This window comes from Homo sapiens, chromosome 6 (assembly GCF_000001405.40).
Source record: "Homo sapiens chromosome 6, GRCh38.p14 Primary Assembly".
Taxonomy (NCBI): domain Eukaryota; kingdom Metazoa; phylum Chordata; class Mammalia; order Primates; family Hominidae; genus Homo; species Homo sapiens.
The window spans coordinates 108,585,124-108,611,641 of NC_000006.12; the positions used below are offsets into that span (position 1 = coordinate 108,585,124).

At 40.0% G+C, this 26,518-nt stretch overlaps 1 protein-coding gene across 13 annotated transcripts in view, besides 1 other annotated feature; it reads left to right on the forward strand.

Moving 5' to 3' along the window:
• The window catches only part of FOXO3 (forkhead box O3), a 124,950-nt gene that overhangs the window by 25,299 nt on the left and 73,133 nt on the right, over nt 1-26,518 (forward strand). For 2 of the 13 annotated variants that reach the window (NM_001415141.1, NM_001415147.1), the window contains exon 1: nt 4,543-4,692. The exons of 9 other annotated variants lie outside the window; for them this stretch is intronic. The gene's annotated coding sequence lies outside the window, so the exon portion shown is untranslated. Of the gene's footprint in view, nt 1-3,649; nt 3,848-4,542; nt 4,693-26,518 lie in introns of those variants that run through there. 2 more of the 13 variants (NM_001415148.1, NM_001415149.1) reach the window with 2 other exon arrangements.
• Nucleotides 2,054-2,255: a silencer, noted in NCBI's record as "fragment chr6:108908380-108908581 (GRCh37/hg19 assembly coordinates)". NCBI's record gives its function as "represses an EF-1alpha promoter that drives an FKBP-Casp9 reporter gene in an ReSE screen in K562 erythroleukemia cells {active_cell/tissue: K562}" and the evidence as "EXISTENCE:reporter gene assay evidence [ECO:0000049][PMID:32094911]".

Sequence of the window (26,518 nt, forward strand, 5' to 3'; positions counted from 1 at the left end):
CTCCGCTTCCTGGGTTCACGCCATTCTCCTGCCTCAGCCTCCCGAGTAGCTGGGACTACAGGCGCCCGCCACCGCGCCCGGCTAATTTTTTGTATTTTTTTAGTAGAGACGGGGTTTCACCCCGTTAGCCAGGATGGTCTCGATCTCCTGACCTCGTGATCCACCCGCCTCGGCCTCCCAAAGTGCTGGGATTACAGGCGTGAGCCACCGCGCCCGGCCTCTATCTCCAAAATCTTCAAGCCATGAAGAATCTTTGCCATCTTATTTATTTTCCCAGCTCCTGGGGAGCAGAGGTTTCCCACTTGGAGTTTAGATTTTGCTGAAAGCACCAAAATCCAGGCCTGAAAGATCTCAAAGTGGATCAGGGCCTGGGGACCAGCTGTGCATTATTGAGATTGGAGCCCAAGTTGGCAGGGAGGCCATGGCTCCTTAACTATCCAGGAAGGCCCTCTGCCCTCTTACTCAGCGCTTCAGCAGAACAGGGCTGGGCTCTTGATCCTGAGACAGCTGGGAGTCTGCAAGGTGTGCCCCATGCTTTCCTTCAATGTAGAGATGCCTTTTACCTCCCATTAGAGTGCTTCAGAGGCTACTTAGGGTGCCTTAGGAAAAGGTATCGTTATTATTATTCCATTAGTCTGTAACCTTCTAGATTTTAGCTGAATGAAACTCTAAACCACTTAAAACACACTGGGCTCAGTAGCATACAAAATCGCTCTGTGCTTAGAGGCGTCTGCAAAGTGGTGGGCGTGCTGCCCCAGTGGCTGTCACTCTGGCTGCTGCCCTTATGTCTCCTTCAAGGGTACATGGAAGAGAGATGAGGGACACATGCCTAAGGTCGGCTTCTACCACATTCCTATCCCACTTTCTCAGCCGGCTTCCTACTTTTTCACTGCCTCTGAAATAGACACAGACCTGCCAGTCCTGGAAGGCCTCAAGCCTCTGGAAAAGCGAAGATCACTTTTCCCCAAAGATGTTAATTCCAAACTTGTTTATGTTCCTCCTTGGAATGACAGCTTATAAAAATATGTGCAGTATTAAGAGATGAAGCCTGAGGGTGAAGGACAACATAGTACTTGACAGGCACCAGAATTAGGTGACACATTTCACTCTTGAGTTTCATAGCAGCTGGAGCAAAAAGGGACATAAGATTAGCTTCCAAACTTATGTTATGCCTTTAAATGAAAACAGAAGTAGCGTGGCTTTTTCTGTTACTTAGAAACTTTTTCTCTTGGGACATCATAAAGAGAACACTGATCTAATAAACGACATTCTCCTGCTTGAAACTTGGTTCTCTGAGGTAATGAGCCAGTCCATTAGTTTCAGTGTACCTTCCTCAGTGATGTATCTATGTTCATCTATCTGGCCTTGTGAATATTTTTTTGACGTAACATGAGCTAGACTGAGTATGAATGGCTCCAAACTTAGGAGTGACTAGGATTTACAGATGAAGCAGTATGGATCAGTTTCTTTGGGAAGGTTCTTGGAGGACCCTATGGGAGGAAACCCTGGACAGGTAGGAAAACTGAGGAAGCAGAAGAGAAGGGCAGAAGACAAAAACCCTGGCATAAGAAATTGTCAATACTGAGAAGTGGCAGGGACGTAGCAGAAGGGGATGGTTGAGGGGAAGACCAGGGGGCTGGTATGTAGTTGGTCCCCAACAGCAGTGTATTGGTGTACTCGACCCTCCAGTGTGATTCTGGGCATGAGACAAGACTCTTGTTCTCATGAAGCAGGGCATCAGGGAATGGGAGTTGGTGAGGAAATTACATTAACATTTATTGAGCACCATTCTCACTATAAACCTGAACGTAAATATTATTATTATTATTATTATTATTATTATTATTATTATTATTATTATTATTTTAGTAGAGATGAGGCCTTGCTGTGTTGCCTAGACTGGTCTTGAACTCCTGGGCTCAAGCAATCCTCTCACCTTGGCCTCTCAAAGTGCCTCTCAAAGGTGTGAGCCACCATGCCCAGCCTATTCGTTTTTAATTTCTGAAGAAACTGAGGCTAACAGCTGGGTCTGGCCCATGACTGGTTCAGTTGGTATTTGGTGGACCAAGTTGACCAAGCTCACCCAGCTTCTGAGTGACAGAGTGAATATAAACCCAGCCTGCTCACTCCATTTCCTAGTTTTCTCACCTCTACCAGGGTCTCTGTTGCTCACAAGAGCTCAGGGCTGGGAGAAGCCTCTGTGTGACAGATGAAGGGGTCCTGCTGCTCTCTAGGGAAGAATCGGTCCCAAATTGCTCAAGGGAGTAAGGTGGTTTCGTTGAGGAGCATCAGCTAGGGGGATTGATGGGAATAGGTGTCAGGCAGCCAGTGGAAATTTTGTGTGCCCACCTGTGGCACATGTATTATGCAAATTCATGCAAAAATATATATATGTGTATGTGTGCACACACAAATACACACACACACGCCCCACACACTTGTTCTACGGCTTGCTTTTGAAGTGAGAGCCCCGGCTCAGTGTTGGCCTTGTTTTTTCTCCCCTTCGTTTTAGACCAGTCTGTGTTCCTGCAAACAGACAAGGCATTGTTTAAAGTACAATGTACTCTCCTGCTTTTGCATTGTCATCAGAAACCCTTGGCAAAATGTTTAATTTTTCTCACAGAGGTTATCTGTACTTACTTGACTTCCCTGATGGTACATTTGGTTCTGGAACCTGGAACTTTTCTTTTGCCCACCTGTATTGTGTTAAGTCAGCCATAGGACACACATAAATATTTTTATAGAAAACTTAAGGATTCTTTCGCTTTGAGATGACTCAGACCCATGTTTCCAAACTGGGACATGCACTAGAGAAGGGCTCCCCCATCCTCCCTCCTCCTCTAGCTTCTTGTCTGTGTAGCGTCCTTCCTAATACCCACTGTTTGCAGTCAGGCAAAAGGAACGTGCTTCCTAAGTGTAAGCTTCCATCTAAAAATGAACATAATTTCAAAGGCAACTTTAAGTTAACAGCTCTAAGTTCTGTGATAATCTGCTAACAGTTGCATTGCTTATGATCTCATTTACGAATGTGTTTTATCATCTTTAAGTTGATAAGTTCAAGAAAGGTACATAAAGTGTGTGTTGTTTTTTAATTATTTTGAACTATTCAGTATATTGAAAAATTCAATTTTTGTTTTTCTCTGCATTTGGGCTTGTTCCTTTTGCTAGTTTTCTGATTGATTTGCATAGACCATTGACTGGATGTTGTATTTTTTTTTTCTCAAAGCTAAACTGTATGAAAAATCAAGACTTAAAAAAGGTAAATGGAGGCAGTTGCACAATTACATTTGTTTAATGAGCTTTTACATTTTAAAACTTTTAATTAATGTTATACTATTTCAGAAATTCAACTGTAGTTATAAAATTATAAAGAATGCATTTGTTATTTAAAGTGAGATATGCGTGCAGACACACAGACCATGGTCTTCCCTTCTTCCTCTGGTCTACTGCTTCTGCCTTATATCCCCTAGATTCCTTCTCACTCCCCAAAAGGCAGAGGTTAAGAAGAAAGTTAAAATATCAAGACACACTAAACTGTTTTTGTGGTGAGTCAAGCTGCAGTGCCTCGCTGACTGGGAAACAATGGGCTGGGCCTCCTAGAATATAGTAGGCTGGAGAAACAGAAAATACAGCTTGACTGGGCCTTGCCCTCTCACTCCAAGCCTCAACAGGATGCTAGAGCTTTAGCATGCTTTCTGCTGTGCTGGGATTATTTTCTGCAACTAGACAAAAAACCCACAAAACTCCACATGGTTTGTTCTCAAGCAACTGGAATATGGAAAGGCTTGAAGGAATACTTACACTTTTTGATGGAAGGTAATGACCTTAGTTCTTCAGTATTTATTAGGTAAGCATGGGTTCTGCAGTATAGCATTTAAAAATTCATGTTCCTCAGGGTTTCCTAAGACAAAATAGAGTGTGTTTGGTCCAGTGTGATGGAGAAGTTTGATGCAAATCCGTCTTAAGGAGGAGAATGGAGGCTGTCATGGAGTCCTGTGGACTGTTTCGCAAGTAGTTGTTTTCCATGTTCCAGTTTTACTTAACTTCAGAAAATTATTGTTTTTGAAAATAAAGAAAAAATCTAAGTGGTAGAGAGAAATATAGGCTGTATTTAAACTGGCCTTTATAATTTTTCCTGGGCACACGCAGCCCACATTTTGGAGCTCTGTGACATAAGCACCCCCTGCCCCGGAGCTGGGAGTCTTGACCGGGCCAGGCCTTGGCTGCCCTGGGCTACACAGACACAAGCACAACCCGAATCTTTGTTTACTTCCTCTCCAAGTGCTGGGGACATTCAGTACTAAGAAGGACTGTGTGCTTGCACAAACACTCCTGCCAGCATTCTCTCAGCCCTGCCATTCCTGACTGTCTTGGAAAGTTCTTCGTTTAAGGCAGGCTTTTGTTCTTAGAGTGCATGCATTATTCCCCAGTCAGGCAGCCTTTTCCGGGTTTCCAGTGCAGACTTGCAGGTCCACTCCCCTGCAGCCTAGCCCAGGGGTGGAACCTTAGCTTTAGTTGCCATTAAGAGCAGGAGGAGGAGTTAGGCAGGGGTGACTGGCTGTTCATGTGAGTTCCTGTGACTGATGTCTCTGAAGAAACCAATGCCTTCTTCAGATCCTTATGGGAAATTTAGGGGACTTTTGGATTACACAGTGTTGCCTTTTGCTGATTCTAAGATAGAGCCTTCCAATTGTAAGTATGTTAAAAACACACAACTATTTCCTACTGAATGTTAGTCAAGCTAAAGAGTGAATCTGCAATTTCATGAATAATCAAAACAAAAGCATGCTGCCAGGATGAACTGTTGCAAGAGCAGGTGCTATTTTTTTCCAGAAACTTTTTTATCCTCGATCACGTTATGGGTATTAAGAGAGTTATTCTTAAAGGATATCATGTTCAGTGCAATGTCTTAATAGAAAAACCTTAAACATAAGTATGCAGGCAAACACAGGTACATAGCTGTATAAAGTTAAATATGAAGACTGGAATTCATTAATAGGATTTAATTTAAATCTTTTTTTTTTTTTGAGATGGCTTTACTCTGTCATGCAGGCTGGAGTGCAGTGGCATGCTCACTGCAGACTGGAACTCCTGGGCTCAAAGGATCCTGCCACCTCAGCCTCCTGAGTAGTTGGAACTACAAGCGTGAGCCACCACACCCAGCACCCACCTTTTTTTGAGAAATAATACAGATTGAGCATCCCTAATTTGAAAATTTGAAATCCAAAATGCTCCAAAATCTGAAACTTTTTGAGCGTTGACATGACACTACAAGTGGGAAATTTCACATCCAATCTCATGTAAGGGGTTGCAGTCAAAACTTTGTTCTGTGCACGAAATTATTTAAAATACTAAATGAAATTATCTTCAGGCTATGTGTATGAGGTGTGTATGAAACATAAGTGAATTTCCTGTTTAAACCTGGGTCGTATCCCTAAGATATTTTATTATGTATATGCAAATATTCCAAAATCTGAAGAAATCTGAAATCTGAAACACTTCCAGGTAATTTGGATGAGGGATACTCAACCTGTACTCAAATTAGAGGAAAGAAAAGAAGTAATGGATAGACAAAAGAAAAGTACTTATTTAGAGTTTACAATGGCCAAGAATTAGGAATGAAGAATTGAGACTGATGTTCTTGTCAGAATTTTGGATGCCTTGCTTGCAAATATGGTTTTAAAAATATGCAACTTTTCTCATTTTAGTATTGGGATTGTGGCGCTTTTTTGAGCCTCATATGACAGCTTTCAGATTGGAGATAACGTTAGAGCTCATCCTAGCTCAGCTGCCTCCCCTGACAGCAGACGAAACTGAGGCCCAGCACTTGGTGGTGGGCTCAGAGTGCCAAACTAGTTAATGAGGCAGAGTAGACAGGCAACAGCCTTCTCATGTAGGTAGGCCTCATCCTTTAGAAGATGTTGCTGCCTGCCCTTGTGACTTGTAAAGATCTGTTTGAAGCATGAGTAAGGAGATGGGGGCTCAGGAGTGTTACAGCATTTCACATCTCAGGTGTAGCTGGGACTTATCGGGTGACCTTTTAGAAACTGTTTATTTTCATTTTTGTACCCCACATTGGGATAAGTATGGTCCACTGACATTGAGAATAACCAGGCCTGTTGTAGACAGCCAGCCATCCTGAAACTACTAGGTTTATACTTCTTACCTGTTAGAACAGAGTTTCCCAAGTTGTATTCCCTTGGAAACACTAGCAGTCGTGCATCATTTGGGCAGTTAGGTTACACAAAATTTAAATGGTCTATTTATTTTCTTTTCCAGACAGAACTCAGGGCAGTCCCACCTCAAGGGAAATCTCATTACATCCTTCTGATGGTGGGGTAGCTGGGAGTCAGCATGAAATCCAAAATTCTAAATCATCGGGAAAAAGCAGAAGGGTTGGAACCCAAATTAAACTGAAGTCCTAAATAAAGTTCACTTTTCGGTCAGGCATTCAGGAAGCAGCACGTGAAAATTTGCTTGGATACAGTTTCCTCATAGTTCTTCAGCAGCTTGAAATAACATCTTGAGCTGGCTGTAAACAAAACATCTCAAGTTATCGTTTTTCTTTCCATTTGATTGAGCCAGTTATTGTATAGGGAGGTGACACAAAACAAAACTTCGTGTTTCTGAAGCCGAGATTTTGGGATTGTACTTTATGCAAAGTTACTTATAAGTTCTGATTACTTTGAGAGAAAAATATTACAGTATCCTTAGGAAGTTTTATGTATTTGTTTTAAAGCTAAGCACCACCCTCTTTTTAGTTAAAAAAAAAAAAAAGTTTGGAAAATAGTGACATGTCAGTACAAAGGGAATACTGCTCTACAATAAGAAGGAACACGCCACAGATACATAGCATGGATGAATGTCAAAAACATTGTGAGAGAAAAATGCCTGAACAGGAGAGTAACTATTGTTTGATTCCATTTCTGTGGAATTCTAGAAAAGGCAAAACTAACTTATGGCAACAGGAAGCAGATCAGCGATTGCCAGGGGTGATGGGGATTGGAGGAGGTTGACTGCAAAAGGGCAGAAGGGAACTTTTCAGGGAAATATGAAATGTTTTATATCTTAATTGTGGTGGTGCTTACACTGGTGTAAATATATTTGCCCAAATTCGTGTAAGCATATGCTTAAAATGGGTGCAGTTTTTTGTATGTAAGTTACACCTCATAAAGTTGATTTGAACCGAAAAAAGGGGTTAGAAAAGGCTGTGGTTGGAATTTTTTGTGTAACTTAAGGCCAAATAGTCCATTTACGCCAGTTTTTACAGTATTGTAAGCTATGCCCTTTGTGTTCACATTTCTTCAGTTACTCCTTTATTCGTCATCACTTAGGAGACTTTGCATCTCATCTGCCTTCCTCCTAGCTCCATGATTTGAGCAATAGAAGTTCTTGGCTTTCAGGAACCTCACAGTTCTTGTTAGTCATAAGCAAGAATGCATTTTAAATTCACTTCAAATTATTTTTTAAGTAGGGGTTCTGGTGGTTTTCTGGAATGGAGGTGTGGTGGAAGCTTGAGTGTGTGTGGGAAGAGGCTGGGTGTTCCTCAGATCATTGTACCATGCTTCCTCACACCTGTCCAAGCTTCTGTGCGAATACTGAAATAAAGTGTCATGAATTTTGCTTCTGGCATTTGTCGGCCACAGCTGTGGCTTCGGGTTGCACATTTGTTGTGGTTTCAGAGTCTCTGAGAAGCCATTGGTTGGGAGGGCGCTAAGAATGGTTGGTGCACGTGGTAATTGAGTGCTTAAGGGGAGGAGGATGATTCTTAGTGCACTCATTGCTCTCCAGTCTTTATCTCAATCCTGTTATAATTTAGAGAGACGTTTTCCTGGTGTGTCCACAGAGAGATGGATGCGTGCTTAGGAATGCATAATTTAGTGAGCAGTTTGAACATCTAGATGTTGGGAATATTGTTGAGTATTTATTTTTAAAGTTCAAGTTCTCCATGTCTAGTCAGTGTTAGCCTGTAAGAAAGAACTAGTTGTTCTTAATGGATCATGTTAGCTGGACTTGGTACAAGTGTTTTTTCTTAGAAGGGAGGATTACACGTTTATAGTAACAAGATGTTCTTTTATTTCCTAGTTTATCAAAAGATTGTGAAATAGGGTGTGCAGATATTTTAGGTAGTACTATTTTTTAAATAGATGAGCTTGAAAGAGTGAGAAAAGGTTGTGTCAGGTTAATTGGGCTTAAGGAAAGCTAAATAATTGGTGGGAGAAGGAAAAGTAAATATTAATTTTTTCCTTTGCTGTGTATTTCTTTTTTCTTTTTTTTTTTGAGATGGAGTCTCGCTCTGGCTGGAGTGCAGTGGCACGATCTTAGCTCACTGTAACCTCTGCCACCTGGGTTCAAGTGATTCTCCTGCTTCAGCCTCATGAGTAGCTGGGATTACAGGTGCCTGCCACCATACCCAGCTCATTTTTATATTTGTAGTAGAGATGGGGTTTCACCATGTTGGCCAGGTTGGTCTCTAACTCCTGGCCTCAAGTGATCCTCCTGCCTCAGCCTCCCAAAATGCTGGGATTACAGGTGTGAGCCACTGAACCCGGCCGCCTTGCTGTGTATTTTTCTTTTCTTTTCTTCTTCTTTTTTTTTTTTTTTTTTTTTTGAGATGTAGTCTCGCCCTGTCACCCAGTCTGGAGTGCAGTGGCTCAATCTTGGCTCACTGCAACCTCTGTCTCCTGGGTTCAAGTGATTCTCCTGCCTCAGCCTCCCGAGTAGCTGGGATTACAGGCATGTGCCACCACAACCAGCTAATTTTTGTACCTTTTTAGTAGAGATGGAGTTTCACCATCTTGGCAGGGTTGGTCTTGAACGCCTGACCTCAGGTGATCTACCCGCCTCGGCCTCCCAAAGTCCTGGAATTACAGGTGTGAGCCACCGTGACCGGCCTTTGCTGTGTATTTCTTTTGGACATCTTTTGGCTTTGTGTTTGTGTAAACTTTGAGGTTTCTTAAAACTACCAAAGCAGTGAGGAGAAGATGGCAGAAAGCTGTGTGCTGATATTCTTTTTCCTGTTTCTTGTTTTTCCCTCCCCCAAAAGTTGTGGAATTAATTTTAAGTAGAAGGAAAAGGGCAGCTTGAGATGTTTAAATTTGACTTAAGTTTTAACTGAAGTTTGTTTGCAAAAAGATGAAAACGGGTTAATAACTTTAGAGAAAAAAAGGAGAGTCCCTGTTCTTCTCCTTCCTCTTTTAGGGAGAGTTGTAGAATAAAAGGTTGATTTCATACTCCTAAGGTTTGGAAGCCAAATAAAGAAAACAAAACTGTGAAGTTAACATAGTAGTTTTGGTTTCTTATTTGTAGAATAAAGGTATGATCCAGCCCCATGGACCAAGGCAGCAGGAGGAGAGTTCCCAGGGTTTTTCTAAGGTCAGAGGCATGCAGCATTTTCTTCCCTCCTTCCCTGCCTCAGCCACCTCTCCCTCCCACCTTTACCTCCCGCTAATGCTTCTTTTGGGCTTGCTTGGGCCATGTTGTTTTGTTTTGCTGCTTTTTGAACTCTAAAAATATAGGTGGCAAATCTCAGGTCTGCCTTGCAGGGAGTGGCCCTGGTCTTTCCGGACCCCTTGTGCCCCATGGCCCTGTGGGTCTGGTGTGTCTCAGTGACCCAGTAGGTGTAGGGCAGAATGGCTAGGCACTGGCATGCCCATTCATCCCCAAATCGGGCCTTGTTGAATGTGGCACAGCTCCAGCTCTTTCCAAACATGACTCCTGCCAGTCCCTATGCTGTGAGATAAGAATGGGCTACACCTAAGCAAAGTTTTGTAGGCAGCTCTCCCTTCCTTTATGTGCTTATGCAACCTTTTCAGCACGTTGGTACCTACGTGTCAGGGACAATGTGTGATTTTGGTGGAGATGCTTATAATCCAAAGTATTTTCATGGTGGTTCCCCAAACAACACTAGGCTCAGATTTCAGTTTATCCTCCTAATATTAATGTTGTATTCAAGGATAGATTTTTCCCTCCCAGGTGTGACTTCTACTCTTTCTGCTCCCCCTCCCACAAGCAGCTGGATTTTGCAAAAACTCATCAAGCTACAGGTTGTCGAGGCCTAAAACATTCTTATTTCTGTTGAGCTTATGAGAGGTATGAGCATAATTGTGTTTTTAGGTAGTGATGTGGAATGCAAATTGAATTTTCGGAAATACTGGGAAGTACTTCTGAAGGAGGAGGTAGAGAGAAAAAACTTTTCATTGTAACTGTGACCTCTCCCTTCTTCAGCTTAAGCTAAATTTAGTGATACATAGAAAAAGTTTGGGGCTTATGATATTGAATTCATTTCCCAAGCATACTCATTGTTTTGTAAGAAATGCAACAAAGTTTTCATTTTTTAATAACTCGGCAAAGGTACTGGGTACAGGGGACCCCTTTGCCCTTTCATTGAGACCATTTACATAAGTTTTTGTAGTTTCTGTAACTTTTATTATTTTATGTTCTCTCTCATAGAAGTGTATGTTTCTGGAAGGAAGGCGATTTGTTAATACAAATCCTAAAGATAGATTGTTTACCCTTGAAAAGAAAGGATCAAAGAAAGCAAAAACCATATAAAATCTGCCTTCCTACATTTCCCATTCCTAAGACTTTAGGATAAAATCTCCTCTCCTGTTTTAAGTCACTTCTGTCTAAGGGAGTTTTTTTGCACACAACATGAAATTAGTGACCTCTGTGTTTGCACGTGGTTATGAGGGGCCTGATGGTGTTCAAATGCCAAGCTGCCAATTTACCTTGTTAGTGATGAGTTTGATAATTCTGCCAGAAATGGACTTTTTACATTAATGGGCCAAGTATAGAATATTTTGAGATTCAGTAAGAAATATTTTAATGGTGGCAGGCCCTGGTCCCCTTCATTCTGTCAGACTGCCCAGATACTGCTTCCTTCTTGTCCGTTTTGTTTAAACTTTCCATTCATATTTTTTTCTTCCTGAAATGTTTCTTTATTTTGAGGAATGCCCCCAAAGCTTATAACCTGTCAGTGTGCATTATTTTACCATGAAGGTCAAATGCTTTATTTTCTACCTTTCTCTTCCCCATCCTATTATCCCTTAGCATTGAAAACATTTTTATAGTACTATTTTTGTTATTGTTTCCCAGTGGTTTTTGAGGAATAATGGACCTGTTTGAGGAAATGTGTGTTGCCTGATCTCTAGAAAAATGTGGTTACCTAAGACATTTTGCATGTGATTTGGATATGATTTCAGGGGCTTATGGACCCACTAAGTCCCATCCATGGACTCCTGGTTAATGGCCTAAATGAAAAAAAAAAAAAAAAAAAAAAAAGTTCAAAGTAAAAGTAGTAATGTGGACTCAGAGGTATAGAGGGGAAAATGTCCAGATTACTTGAAAAGTTATGGGTTGTTGAATGAACATCTCCTCTAGTATGTTTTGTAAGTAGGGAAGGAAAACATTTGTTTGCCAAGGGAATGAGAAAGTTTAAGCAGGAAATGGAAATCGGAGATGGGTCACTAAGAAGCAACATTTAGAGGAAAGTGGAAGGTAAATAAATGTGTACCTGTCCATAGGCAAAGTTACAGGCAATTTGGGAGAATCCAGAACACTAGCCTAATTACACACTGTGTTTAAAAAGTGATCTGTGGTTTAAAAAAAGGATCTGGAAAATACTTAATATACACTGTCACCCTTTAGGGACTTCAGGATGCGTACCAGCAGACTGAAGCCCATAAGTCCTGCAGTAAAGAAACCTGTTTTATATTGTTTAATCCATCATATCCCAAACAGTTGCAGCTCAAAGGGATGCTTTTTTTTTCTTTTTTCTTTTTTTTAACAGAAAACAGTTATCAGCAGAACATACTTTGGGAAATAAACTGTTGGACTAAATAAACTAGAGTCTTATCTAACTCTTTAGAGTCTGAAGTGTGGATGGTATCTTGAACCACAATAAGCAGAGAAAATCCCAAAGGACTGGAGAGAAAATTTACTCTGGAGATGGCAGCAGCTAAGTGAGAACAGAACTTGGCCATACAGTTGTGTCTTAACTTGTCCCAAAAGGGAAGTGCCAGAATGTGGGTGATGCCATTGGGCTATGTTAGAGACACATCAGCTCAGAGGTTGTATAAGTTGTTTCCATGGCTAGATGAGAAAGAGAGCCAGACCTAAGAGTGTCCCCTTGAGCCATTAGAAACAGTGTCACCCCAGAGATTTACTCTTTTCAACTTCTCTGTCCCCATTAAATCCAGAAGCACACCAGGCTGAGAATGGGTAATAGGCTTAAGCACAAAGAAATTGCTTATGATTCTGAATGTGGAAGGCATCTTTCTTTTCAGCTATGAGGATGCTCATTTAAGAGAAATTGCTTTCTTATTAAACAGAATGATTGTGCTTTTTTTTTAATTGGATCAGAACATCCCCATGCTGCCTTGTGGTATTTGTACCTAACAAATGGATAATGACTATGTGAAATTATGGATTCTGTTGGCTAAATTTAAGCTGTCAATACAGGGCAAAAGGGTACTTTGATTCCATTACACATTGCGTTACCAGTCTCCAGAGTCCATGGGGTTAGGTACTCCATGTTTTAATATGTTTCAATAACTTTTTTATACTGACGTCTGCAGGCTTTGGTAACTCATACTGTAGACCTGTATGTGGCTGTGTCCAGCTGCAGCATGTGAGGTAGCCAGAGAGCTATTTCAGGAACAAACAGAGCTATTTCATGTTTCCTCTAATTTGTAATAAGCACTTAGGTCTGCCTGACTCTTGAGATGTATCACAGAGTTCATCACACGCCACCTATTGTAGTACTAAAAGGTACTAAAATTAGAATTCATGCTTTTGGTGTTTTAAAATTAGCGATTCTTTTCCCTCTGTTGAAGCTATATATATTTGTTAAATAGTGTCTTTTAAACCCATAAATTCTAAGCTAGAATTGATGAACATTCAGATTAAAGCAAGCAAGAAAAAACTTAATAAAAACAAAATTCCTCTCACGGAGTTTGAGGTTCCAGTGATTTAGTGGGTCATGTGTTTTCCATTAAGGATATAGTTCCCATGCAGTTAATAATGTACAACACTGTGGGTTCTCTCTGCTTTAATCTTTGCCTTCTTCCTCCCTACTGTCCCCTCTTCCATCTCCCTCAATTGGGGAGGGGAAAATCCCTGTGCATCTTTCTGTTCTTTGTAGAATTTGTTCCTTGGTAGTTTCTTCATCAACTTGAGTCACCTCAGCCCTAGAGGAGGAATGGATTAGCTGAATTCTGCTGACTTGTTGCTACCCAGCTCTGCTGATAGGGACATTTGTAGGGTGGGGATGACAGGGGATTACCAAGCAGTTGCTGAGTGATAAACTGAACTGAGGCAACCACAAGCAGGATACATAAAAAAGAACCACTGGCACGCACTGACCCATTGCTCTGAACCAGCTGTCTGTGCTGGGCCCTGGTGGGAAATGGAGGGAAAAAAAATCTAGAGCTTTCTCTTGAACAAAGTTACGCACAACATGAGTCAGAAACAAAATTTTAAAAGGTCTGGGGCTGTACAGATTTTGTTGTGGGGAGGGGAGTGTTACACATTTTATGATGATTGACTTACTGGAAATTCACCATCATGGAAACAAAAATTTAGGGAAGAATTCTGAATGTGTTCTGGGAAGCCTCTCATTCATGACATTGGTTTGGCAGACAAATGGCTTCCAGGAATGCCTACCCAGGGCATTGCTTTGTATGGCAAGATGTGGATGGTTGATAACTCCTTGACCTGGTGGTCATTGGAGACTGCCCACCCAGGGCAGGGGTGTCTGTATACCCCTCACCTCCTTCATGCTGACTTAGCATGATGGCCGGCAAGGAGTTTCTCTAATTCTTGTCTGGGCATATTCTTTCTCTTTCCCTTTTCTTTTTTTATGCAACTAATAAAAAGATTGCTAACACTTATTACATAGGAAACTTGAGATGTATACAGAGTTCTAGAAAATGGGATGAGAGCTGTTTTTATTCCTAGACCAGAGTAACTTTGTGAGAGCAAGCTGTTTTTTATTCCCTGTCCTCCACCTTCCTTTCACTCTGTTATTATTCCTGTTAATAAGTAAATGACCCTTCTGAATTGAAACAGGGTTGGGTCTGCTCTTTAAAAACATAACCTTTTTATTGGGATTTTCTTTAAGATAGGCTAATTTATTAAAATTAAAAAATCTTGCTAGGTATTAACTTTGTTGCTTATCTAAGACCAAGAAATATATTTTTATACATCTCAGCTCTCACCTATGTCTAGAATGTTGTATATGTGTGTAGTTTGTGGATTTATATTTTGAATACATTATTTCTTATTTGAACGGTGCTCAACATTGTATTTAGGAAGCAGCATAGTTGAAGATGATGGGATTTTCATAATGCTTCTTATAATGACCCCTCACTTAGTATGTGCCTTGCCCTGGGGCTCAGTGAGAGGGTTGTGTTTCCACAAACATGCTTCTTCGTGGTCTTTTCCATTATGGTAAGCCATAGAGGCTTTCCCGGGCTCAGTGTGCCAACTTCTGACTGCAAATGATCTCATTTTCTAAAATCTTTCTCCCATTCTCCTTTAAGAAAAAATCTTAGTTATTAAAAATCTGCCTCACAAACTTAGAAATGCTTCAGAGTAAGTATCTGAGAAGCAAGCCCACCCCACATCCACCATATATCATCGTTTCTGTTAAGGGCCATCCCATTTCTTCAGACAAATTCTATCTTCTTCCTCCCATCCCACTTACTTTTGACTTTGAAGGTGGATTATCTCATCTCAAATTTCCTTCCAGAATAGAACCACATTTCAGCAAAATATTGGGTGGCTGGTTCTTTTCTTCAAGACCCACCTGCATCTGTGTTGGTCCTCTATGTGAGGAAGGTCCTCTATGTGAGAAGATCTGAGGGGTAAGCAGGTTTTAATGGACTAAGATTTTTTTTATATGTATAAGGAGGGTGGGAGGAGGATTTTAGAAAACTAGATCCATTGGCCTGCAGTTAGAAGTCGAACACTGAACTTGGGAAAGCTTCTGTGGCTGACCGCGAGGAAAAAGACTACTTTAGTGACTACTGACATAACCTGGTTTGTATTACCTGTGAGGACTAGCTTCACACAAATTGATGTTCCATCGATATGAGCCTTTATAACTTTATTTCCTCCCATTATAAAACTATGTGTGGGCCAGGTATGGTGGCTCACACCTGTAATCCCAGCACTTTAGGAGGCCGAGGCAAGGCGGATCACCCGAGGTCAGGAATTCAAGACCAGCCTGGCCAACATGGTGAAACCCCACCTCTACTAAAGATACAAAAAATTAGCCGGGTGTGGTGGTACACTCCTGTAATCCCAGCTGCTCCGGAGACTGAGGCAGGAGAGTCGCTTGAACTGGGGAGGCAGAGATTGCAGTGAGCCAAGATTGTGCCACTGCACTCCAGTCTAGGTGACAGAGCAAGTCTCCATCTCAAAAAAAAAAAAAAAAAAAAAAAAAAAGTATGTGTGTTCATTGTAGAAAATTTAGAAGCCAGAGATTGCAAAATGAAAACAACCTATAATTCTGCAATCAATTATTGTTAATTTTTTGTGTGCATATTTCCTGGTTGGTTGATTGGAATGATAAGTAAGATTTTAAAATCTGGTTTTCACTTAAGCCTCAGGTACTTTGTGGTTGAATGTCTTGGCTAATTTTTATAAGGGAAGAAGGATTATGAATACTTTTATGTCATTAAATAATCATCAATGACTTCAAACATCTTATTTTTAAATAATTGTAGAAGTTGTGGGAAATAATGCAGAGACATCCCATGTACCATTATCTAGTTCCCCTTGTGTTAATATATTGCAAAACTGTAGTTCACACAACCAGGATATACTGACATTGATACTGTCAAGATACAGAACATTTCTTATCACTGCAAGGATCCTTCCTATTGTCTTTTTTTTTTCTGACGGAGTCTTGCTCTGTCCGCCAGGCTGGAGTGCAGTGGCGCAATCTCAGCTCACTGCAAGCTCCGCCTCTGGGGTTCACTCCATTCTCCTGCCTCAGCCTCCCCAGTAGGTGGGACTACAGGCACCTGCCACCATGCCCGGCTAATTTTTTTTTTTGCATTTTTAGTAGAGACGGGGTTTCACTGTGTTAGCCGGGATGGTCTCGATCTCCTGACCTTGTGATCCACCCACCTCGGCCTCCCAAGGTGTCCTAGTGCTTTTTAAAACATTTTATTTTTATTATTTTATTTTTGAGACAGAGTCTTGCTCTGTTGCCTAGGCTGGAGTGCAATGGCACAATCTCGGCTCACTGCAGCCTCCGCCTCCTGGTTTCAAGTGATTCTCCTGCCTCACCCTCCCGAGTAGCTGGGATTACAGGCGCCCACCACCTTGCCCGGCTAATTTTTGTATTTTTAGTAGAGACGGAGTTTCACCATGTTGGCCAGGCTGGTCTTAAACTCCCGATCTCAGGTGATCCACCTGCCTTGGCCTCCCAAAGGGCTGGGATTAGAGGGGTGAGCCACCGCACCCAGCCCCCCTTCTATTGCTGTCTTATAGCAACAGCTACCTCCTTTCCCCTGCCTAACTTGACCCCTGGCAACCATTAATCTGCTCTTCATTTTTATAATTTTGTCATTTCAAGAATGTTACATAAGTGATCATGTTATATCATACAGTATATGGATTTTTGGGATTGACTTTTTCCATTAAGCCTGATTTCCTGGATCCAAGTTGTTACACATCTCAGTAGTGTGTTCCTGTTTGTTACTCAGTAGTGTTCCACTGTATGGCTAGGTTACATTTTATTTATTCACTCATCACTCAATGGACATTTGGGTTGTTTTCAGTTTGGGGCTATTTTGAATAAAGCCTTGTGCTATGAATATTAATTTACAGGTTTTTATGTGAACGTAAATTTTCATTTTTCTGGGATAAATGCCCAATGACTTCATTTTAATGATGGCAAAATATTTCATTGTATGAAATAAATATTTCATTAATTTAGCTGATTTCTTCTAAATGGGTTGTTAAGGGTTTTTCCCCCTAGTTTTTCTGCTGTTATAAATATCACTGATGAAAATATTTTAGGTAAATCTTAATGTATATCTACTTTTATTTCTAGAAGTGGAATTGATGTCTGAGAGCATACAGAATTTTAAAGCTTTGCTTTTTCTAGTCACTCTTTTTTTTCTTTCCTAAAATCTTCCTAAACTCCTACCATCAATGTATGAAAGTGCCCATTCTCATACCCTTGCCAACACAGAGCATTATTACTTTAAAAAATCTTTGTAAATTTCTGCCATACGCCTGTAGCAGCATAACCTAAAGCTTCACTGTAAGTTTTCCAATCCCACTTGGCCTAAGAAGATCTTTCAGAGTAACAGAGATGCCACCAAGATCTTGTTTTTTGCGTGAAGTTTGGGACTCTGCAGCTTCATAGAACCTCAGAGGATTTGGTCTAGAATGGGGTAAAGAATTACAGGAAATCACTGAGTTTTTGTATGTTGCTGCTGTCTGTTATTTGTCCCTCATATTTATCCAGAAGGAGGCAAGTGTGCTGTCATAAGCAATAGCATTAAAACCAAACCAAAAAAAAAAACCTTTTATTATTAACAAAGGTTATTTTTTTATAATAGATGTGGATAACTTTTTATAAAGGCCGATTAATATAAGCAATATAGATGATTGTGTACATGTGTCTTTCTGTGTGTTTTGTATTATAGGAACCTATTTTGAAGCTCTTAGAGCTGAGAGTTAAGTGGTCTTTTAATGGAACTGCTAAGACAAGGTAGAGTAGGAGATACTTTTCTTCCCTCTTTATGCTGAAGTGTTTTAGTGTTTCTGTCTGTGACTAGGCAGTAACTTTGAAAGGAATAAGATAGGGTTAATAACATATCTACTAAAACTTGGAAAATATACTATATTTTCTGAGATAAAAATCTTTGGATTGAAAATTACTTTCTGGTGGAATATGGCAAACTGACATTCATTCAATGTAAGACTTTTTTTCCCTCACTTTTTGTGTTTTCATCTGTAGTTTTTTTTTTTCTTTTTTACCTGTGGTACCATTTTTAAGGTGAATCAGGCCAGTTTCAGCAAAAAATGGTTGTACTGTTCATCACTTCAGTAGAAGGTAGGATGACTTCGATGAGGTTGTGCTCAGTAACTTCTCTGGTGCTGAATTAGTGTCCTGTGACAAAGAAGGATCCCATTCTTACAAATAAATGAATAAAGGAGACTAGCAGAATCTGGCATTTCTCTTTTTAAAAGTTTATAATCAATTATTCATTCAGTCATTCAAGTACCTTCTACATGTTTGCAGCTAAAGACTAATGAGTGTAATTAAACAAGTGGATCAAGTAAAGCATCAGCCATGAAAACTTTTCACTTTCTCGGGGATGATAAAGGACCCTCCTTTTTTTCCTTGTCATATTTTCCAGTTTATCATGATTCTTATGGTATTGGTGATTTTAACTTTAAGTGTCTAGAAAATTTACGCACATTTTGGCCTAGGAAAGAAAATACAGTATTGAAGAACAAGTTGAGGATCTCCAGGTATTAAATATAACCTGATTTCCAGAGGAACTTGATATAAAGAGGATAGGACTCTGCTAATGGGGAGAGGAGGGAATCATTGTTGGGGTTTTGGGTAGAGCATCTTCTTTGAACTAATCCTGGACAGCCTTTCCCAAACTGAGGGTGTGCCATCATTTCCTTGAGGGCAGTAGAAGGCCCTGAGAATCTATCTGACAGCATTATTGAAGCTCAAGAGTTTAGTTCTATTTTTTAAATAAAAATTTCCCAGCATGGTACATTAGACAATTTTTTTTTATTTAAAAAGAAGTATTTTTGTAATGATCTTGGAAATATCTATAGGTCCAGGAATTCCTAGAATAATTTTTTTACTATGAAATTGCCTAGGAATGGTGACTTAAGCTACTCTGAAATAATATGGTATTGAGGATGATCACATCCTGCAAACAACTGCAGCCTCAGACTACTTTGACTAAAAGGATTCTAATGTGAGTGGTTGGAAGGAAAGGAGGCAGCATCAGGCACAATTTATTGAAGAGGTCAGAAGTAGCTAGAGGAGAAACCAACTTTTTACTCTTAAATAATCAAGATTTTTATGTAGATATTTTAGGAAAGATATGGTCATTAAAATTTGGAATTATGGTGAATGAAATAAGTAATAAAGAAAAACTGGAAAACGACAGTACGCACTGTTAATACATTTCTTGGTGACTAAATGAGGTGAAAGTCATTGGGTTCCTTTGCCCTCTTCAGTGGCAGGTTAAGTTTTTATGGCTTATTATACCTTTGGATGATTGTGTAGAAGAACTTCCTGATATATTTTTTTTCTTTTCGAATTTAAAGGTAATTTAACAGCGACGTGCCTTTGCCTGAAATGAGTAGAAATGTTATATGACTTATTAGTATGTAATATTACTTCTGACACTGACATTTGTGAACAAGGAATAATCAGTTTGCTTTCTTGTTCATTATTATGTTTTAACAAGAAATAAGTGTTACAGTGTTAGAGTCTCTACTAGAACTGAATTTGAACAACAACCAGTGAATGCAGCCAAAGAAAACAGCCAGTTTGGATGTTTCAGGCCCCCTCAACTTTTTGAAGGTTGGGTTTTTTTTTTCCTTGTTGCTTTTTGCTTTTCAGTTTGTTTGGTTTGGACCCTTTTTTAAGTATTTGAAGGATTGTCTAAGCTTAAGTTTATCCTTATGGAGATGCCTTCACGTGGGGCATCTGAATGTCATGAGTTTGGTGATTCTAAGCCTTCCCGTTTTGTGACTTGGCTCACTTATGGAGTGTAAAGGCCCTATAAGAAGAGAGAAAAAGGTATTTGAAGTCAAATGTTTCTGTTTTGCAAATTTACTTTATACTGTTCCACCACAGGATGTGGCCTCTTGGCTTTATTAATTTTTATTTTTAAGCTTAAGATGTTGCTTAGGCCAAAATAAACTTTTTAGTTGAGATAAATGAAGTTCATAGTCACACTCTTTATCATGGGTATCCTTATATCTAATACTAACTTTTCTTTTTTTTTCCCTGAGACGGAGTCTCATTCTGTCACCCAGGCTGGAGTGCAGTGGCACAATCTCAGCTCACTGCAACCTCCGCCTCCCAGGTTCAAGCAGTTTTTCTGCCTCAGCCTCCCGAGTAACTGGAACTACAGACGCCCACCACCACACCTGGATAATTTTTGTATGTTTAGTAGAGATGGGGTTTCACCATATTGGCCAGGCTGGTCTCGAACTCCTGACCTTGTGATCTGCCTGCCTTGACCTCCCAAAGTGCTGGGATTACAGGTGTGAGCCACCGCGCCCAGTCCTACTATTTTTTTTCATTTTATTTTTGCGATTTTGAAAACTATTAATAATTTCTGAGCATTCACTATGTGTCTGACACTACTGTGTCTTTTACATACAGTATTTCTAATCTATACCTTGGAAGTTGCTCATTTCTCAGAAAAAGAAACAGGCCTAGATCAATTAAAAGCTTGCCTCAAATGACACTTCTGGTAAATAAAGAGTGGGATTACAGGTCTGATTTCAGAAATGGTTCAGGGATGATTAGAATTATCCTAGAAGGGAAAGATTTGTTTGTTTTGTTTTGTGTTAGCACAGGGAATATCAAGATGTTTCTTGTTTTGATTACCTGCTTAGATAAAGCAAGGGAACAGGCCAGGAGGCTGAACAGTTCTGAGAGGGAGGCATGGAAATGCAGCATGAGGCAAATTCGCATGTAGGACAGCAAATTAGATGAAAATTAGGTTGAAGGGAGAAGTCACAAGATCCAATTATTTTGTTCAATGTAGTGCTTTCAAATCACTCAAAAGACCAAAAAAAGTTTTATTTTGTCATGTGAGCATGTGATCCTGGATAGTTAATTGCTTTGCAAATTGTCATTGGTAAAATGCTTTGGAGGTTTTTATGTAAGAGTTACAAGTAAATTAAAATAGTTTGTGCCACAAAGAAACTTTGGTGCGAAACAGAACAATTATAATTTAAAAGAGGTGGGGCAGTATGAGAAAGCAACTAATTTGGTATTAAAGGTTTGAAGACTGGAATTCTGTACAGTATGCTGGGAGACTCATCAGAACCTCTTCCCTGTTGTAAATAATGTTCTTGTCAGTTAATGCCTAATTGCTGCTCTTGCCTAGAAATCCAGAAGCTTTGGAGATAAGGAGGTCTCTCTGAATCCAGTTCCACAGTATATCAGCCCCTTTGTTCACCCCATAGACTGTACCCTTCCCAAGGGCGGTTTGTTGGCAAGTCTGTCTGGTAGGGCGGTGTTTTCTGCATAGTAATCAGGCCTCTGCAATTGTGATATTCCTCCCCTTCCCCCTAAACTCTTTGGGTTCTTGACACACATGGCAATGCCACTGGTATAACAGAAAGTCAGAAGGAGAAAAAGAGAAAATGTCTTCTCGAGTTCCAAGTGTCTGCACAGCCTTGCCAGACTATGATTAAGGCTTATCTACAGGAGACTGCATGAAAAACTTTCTTCTTCTCTTCCCAGGAAGCAAGCAGCCTTGTGAACAAGCAGGTTCAGAAAGCCAGGAACTGACAAACTTTTCTAGTCCTTTTGCCAGCCTGTTCTGCTTTTACCAAGAGTTTAGTGACAGGACTACCTGTTTTCAATAGTTAAAATGTATATTTTGATCACCTTTAGCACATGCTACCTTGCACAGCTCTTTTTAAAGCCTTATGTATTCTAGCTATTTGACCACTGTTGTGTGTGATTTTCATTTTTGATGCCTGATGTGACAGGAGGGGGTGAGGATGGGGGTCCCATAAAGATGCAGAGTAAGTTGAAGAAGACAATGCTTGTCCTGCCACCAGATGTCTCTTGTTTTTATTTTTGTTTTTGTTTTGTTATGTGTAAAAACAAATGAACCCTTGGGATATTAGGATATTTCGGAGCAAGGTGTTGTCACTGTTTCTCAGACTTGGGGAATTTAGAACTCATAGACTTTTTAATTATTAACTTGTATGTTTTGTCTTTCATACCTGAAAGGTCGTACTTAGGAGATGAAAGAATTTTTATCCCAAATTGAAATGTCTTAGAAGAATAATATTTCAGCTGGGCGCAGTGGCTCAAGCCTGTAATCCCAGCACTTTGGAAGGCCAAGGAGGGCAGATCACTTGAGCTCAGGAGTTCAAGACCAGCCTGGGCAACATGGCAAAGCCCCATCTCTACTAAAACAAAAATTAGCTGGGTGTGGTGGCGTGCACCTTTGGATCGCAGCTACTTGGGAGGCTGAGGCAGGAGAATTGCTTGAACCTGGGAGGCGGAGGTTGCAGTGAGCTGAGATCCTGCCACTGCACTCCAGCCTGGGTGACAGAGCGAGACTATCTCAAAAAAAAAAAAAAAAAAGAAGAAGGAGTTTCTGTACTCCCTTCAGAAACTTGCTTCACTGATATTTTCTTTTCTGATCCTGGAAAGGTTACATGTTTTGAAAATGGAATTGTAAAATGTGCTTGTTTCTAACCCTGTTTTTCTTGCTCTGTTTAGATGTCTAGATGATTATGGATACATTCTTTTCAGTCTCTAAAGTCTGAGGGAGTCCCTGTATCCTAATTTTTCTGCCAGCTGACATGTAGTAGAATATAAGCATCCTTCTGCCTTTAGGGACTTGCAGATTATATTCTTTGGATGGCTTACTTCAGATGCTAAGGACAAAATTTATTCATTCACTCAATAAATATTTATTGATGCTTACTGTGTGCCAGCTCCTGTTAGAGGGTTGGGGAATAAATACATCAGTGAACAAAAGATAAAATCCCCCTGCCTAAAGGAGATCCCATCCTAATAGAAATGTATGTTCTTTAACAGTAGATTATTATCCTGGAAGAACTAATCTTTATAATTACCAGATTCTTACTTCAGAGCAGTGGCATTTGGGGAGTTGGTGGCAGGTCTAACCTTCAGTCCTGCCCTATTTACTGCCATTTCCAAGGACCTTGGGATCATATAATGGTAGAGTTGAAAGACAGGTGGAAATTCTAGTCCAGTTCCCTCATTTTATTCATCAGAAGTAATGTGCAAATTCATATGCATACTCCCAGTGGGCCTTAAGATCACCTCAAGTTTCTCTCTGTTTCAAACTGAAGTGTCTGTTCTATACTCAGAATCATCTTTAGAACACTTGAGTGAGATCTCTAGTTCAGCCCTTTGAAAAACTGATGCTTGGATAAATTAAGTGACGCTCTCACTTTATTTAAAGATGATTGAGAATTGGCTATCACTGGCCTATTTTCTGGTCTTACAAGTAGTTCTGCCAAAGAGGCTAATTTCTAACTGGGAATTGTCTTTTGTCCCCAGAGGGAAATGGAACATGAACTGGATTGGAGGCACAGTCCTAAAGAGAGGGATACTCAGAGAACTTTGCAGAACTTTTTGGGTTAAAAAAAACAACTACTCTTTTCTGGTGCTACTGCAGTTTTTCTATCAAAAACAAAATCCAGGAACAAAAATACTCTGGCAGAAACCAGGAAACCAAATATCAGAAACCAAAGAGCCAACTCTATGGTTTCTGAACAGAGTGTACCATTTAGGATCCTGTTTAGCTACCTTTGGGTTTATTGGAAAACTACTCCATTGTGGTTACAAGTGGAAAACAATTTAAAGGCTCTTCTTTGGCTTTGGTACTTTTACAGGGTTTCACATTTCTAATAGTAAACGCTTCAGAAAGTTTGAAGAAATATCCTATTCTCAGAGAGAGGGTAGGGGAAAGCTTAACTTTATTTTTCTCTATCCCTCCCCTCCCAGAGTCCAGAAAACGGGCCCTAAATTCCCAGGACAGATTTGTTTCAACCTCAGGACAGTTGCTTAAGCAGTTAATGCTCAGCAGTATAGAACTTGTTTCCTTTTGTTAACGCTGAGGTTGCTACGGTACTTGGCCAGCTGTGGAGGTTTGTGAGCTGGACCTCAAGCTATTAAGAATAGCTTTGGTTGGTTTCGCCTTAATCCAAATGAACAGTTACCAGAGGACATGATGTAGAAGAGGTTATCGGAGGTTAGTTCTTAAAGGTCTTTAAGATCAGCCTGTTGTAATTCACATTCAGTAAAGCTATGGTTTATAACTGGTAAGCTGAGTAAATGGATTATCTCTAAGCCTTACTATTTTTAACCTTACTCCCCAAATAAATGGTGAATTGTCACGTCACTTCCAAAAGGTTTTATTTCAGTGAGTGTTTAGAGACTAGACAGATTTCACTTTGTTCCTGGAGAAGTCATGGTTGTGGTGACTGAGGGCATTGTCTGCTATTGTGGGAGAGGCACCAAGATGTTACACACTTGGTTGCTGATGGGCCTGGGTTCTAGGCCAGGTTTAGATGTTTAGTATCTGAGTCACCTAGAGCAAAGTTGTAAAGCTGTGCTCTTGATCTCTTTAGCTTTAAAATCAGCCAAAATACGATTTGGCCTATTAGCTTTCCAGGTGGTGATGAAAAGACACTATTGAGGTTGCAGGTGGTATTGTTAAGAAGGGAAGCAGGAAGACTGAGCATCAGATAGGCCTGTGAGTTTGTTTCTCGCTGCATCTCTCTTTGTATATAACGCTGTGGATCGCTTTTAAGGCTAAGGTATTTGTGTTTCTGGGTTAGCCACTTGTGCCAACAAAGCGACCTCTCTTTAACTGGAAAGCAGTTTGGTGTTCTCACTCATTTCTTCAGGACATATCATTACAGGTCTTTGAGTTGTAGTTAGGACTTTACACGTATGAATATGCTGCTAACACGCCTGGAGGACTTAACTGTTGACAACAGGGCTCCTTTTGCCTAGACTAGAGTTTTTTCATTAAATTCAGGAGATGTGCCTGTTGAATTTTTTTTAAATGTACACATACATGCACACATATGTACATTTTTGAAAAGAAAACAGTTGGGGGAAACCTGTCACCACTCCTCTTATCTGAGTTCCTTGCAGATTTGGCCATATATGCATGCATTGTTTGCTTGGCTGCAGTAAGAGATTTTTTTTGCACTTTGCTTTGTTTCCCCTTCCCCTCCCCATATACAGGCTTTACAATGGCTATTTAAAATCGTTGCTTTAATAGGACAAGGGTTGAATGGATTTATAATTTATTTAATTATTTCCTCACTGGAGAGCCCTTGATTTTTTTCCTCTTTATTTTAATATTCTTCAATATTATAGGTATTGTTTTTGTAATTTTAAAATAAAAGGACTGAGTCTAAGAGTCCTGTAAATTGCTTAGATTCTGTTAATAACTGGACTCCTTATCAGGAACTCAGAGTAAACTGGCCACAGGAAAATTTGCCTCACAAGAAACTCAATAGAATTAAAAGGAGAGGATTCAGTGTTCTTAAGTACAAGTGAAAGTCATGGGACTGGACCGCTTAGCTTCATGGGCTGAGCCTCTTCACCTTTGTGCTCTAAGAGGAAAAAACAGTGGAGCTTTCTGAGTTTTGTGTGTGCCCCTGTGTTTTGGTTTTTAAGAGAGAGAACGCATTCATACTCTGTTGTCTTTGCAAGTAGATAGAAGTGATAGGACAGGGACTGGGTGAAGTCTGAGGCATTTAAATACAGTGTAAAACAGTGCAGAGAGCAGCCCTCCCCATTTTCCTATCGCCCACACCTTTTGTTCCTTTTCCTCCCTCCACATCTTGTAACCCAGAAAGGATAAAAACTCTTTTCCTATAATCCTGCTGTTTTTGTGGCATTTGGATAATTTTACAGTGACATAAAATTGCCTCCCTGTTTTGAAACTGGTGATTTATTTTGAAAATTACCTGTGGAAAACAATCGTAGTTATTGAGTTGTAATTTGAAAACACTGAAATTTACCAATTTAAGTATAAAATTTGAGTTTTAGTGAATGTGTACAGTTGTATAACACCACAATTACGATAAAACATTTCAAACATTTCATCGCCACAAAAAATTCCCTCATGGCTTATTTTCATCAGTCCCTCTCCCTCCCCCTACCCACCCACAACTGCTGAGCTACTTTTTGCCTTTTCTAGAATTTCGTATAAATGTAGAGTCATTACTGTATGTAGCCCTTTGTGTTAGCATCTTTCACTTAGTAGAGTGCATTTGAGATTCATCCATGCCTTTTGTCAGTGGCTCATTCTTTTAATTGCTGAGAAGTATGCCATTGTTGTATGGATATTCTGTTATAGAAATATACCGGAATATTTTATCCATTCACCAGGGGATAGACATTTGGGTTGTTTCCAGTTTTTTACAGTTATGAATAAAACTGCTATTAATATCTATGTTCAGGACTTTTGGGGATGTATTTATTCATGTATTTGTGATAAATGCCTAGGAGTAGGACTGCTGGGTGGTAAGTGCAGTGTATGTTTAACTTTATAAGAAACTGCCAAACTGTTTTCCAGAGTGAATGTACTGTTTTGCATTTCTGCCAGCAATGTATGAGAGTTCTAGTTGTTTCACCTCCTCTCCAACACATGTAATTGCCAGTATTTTTACTTTTCTCCATTGTATAATGTAGTGGTAGATACCTCATTGTAATTTTAATTTGCATTTGCTTAATGATTAATAATGTTATGCATCTTTTCATGTG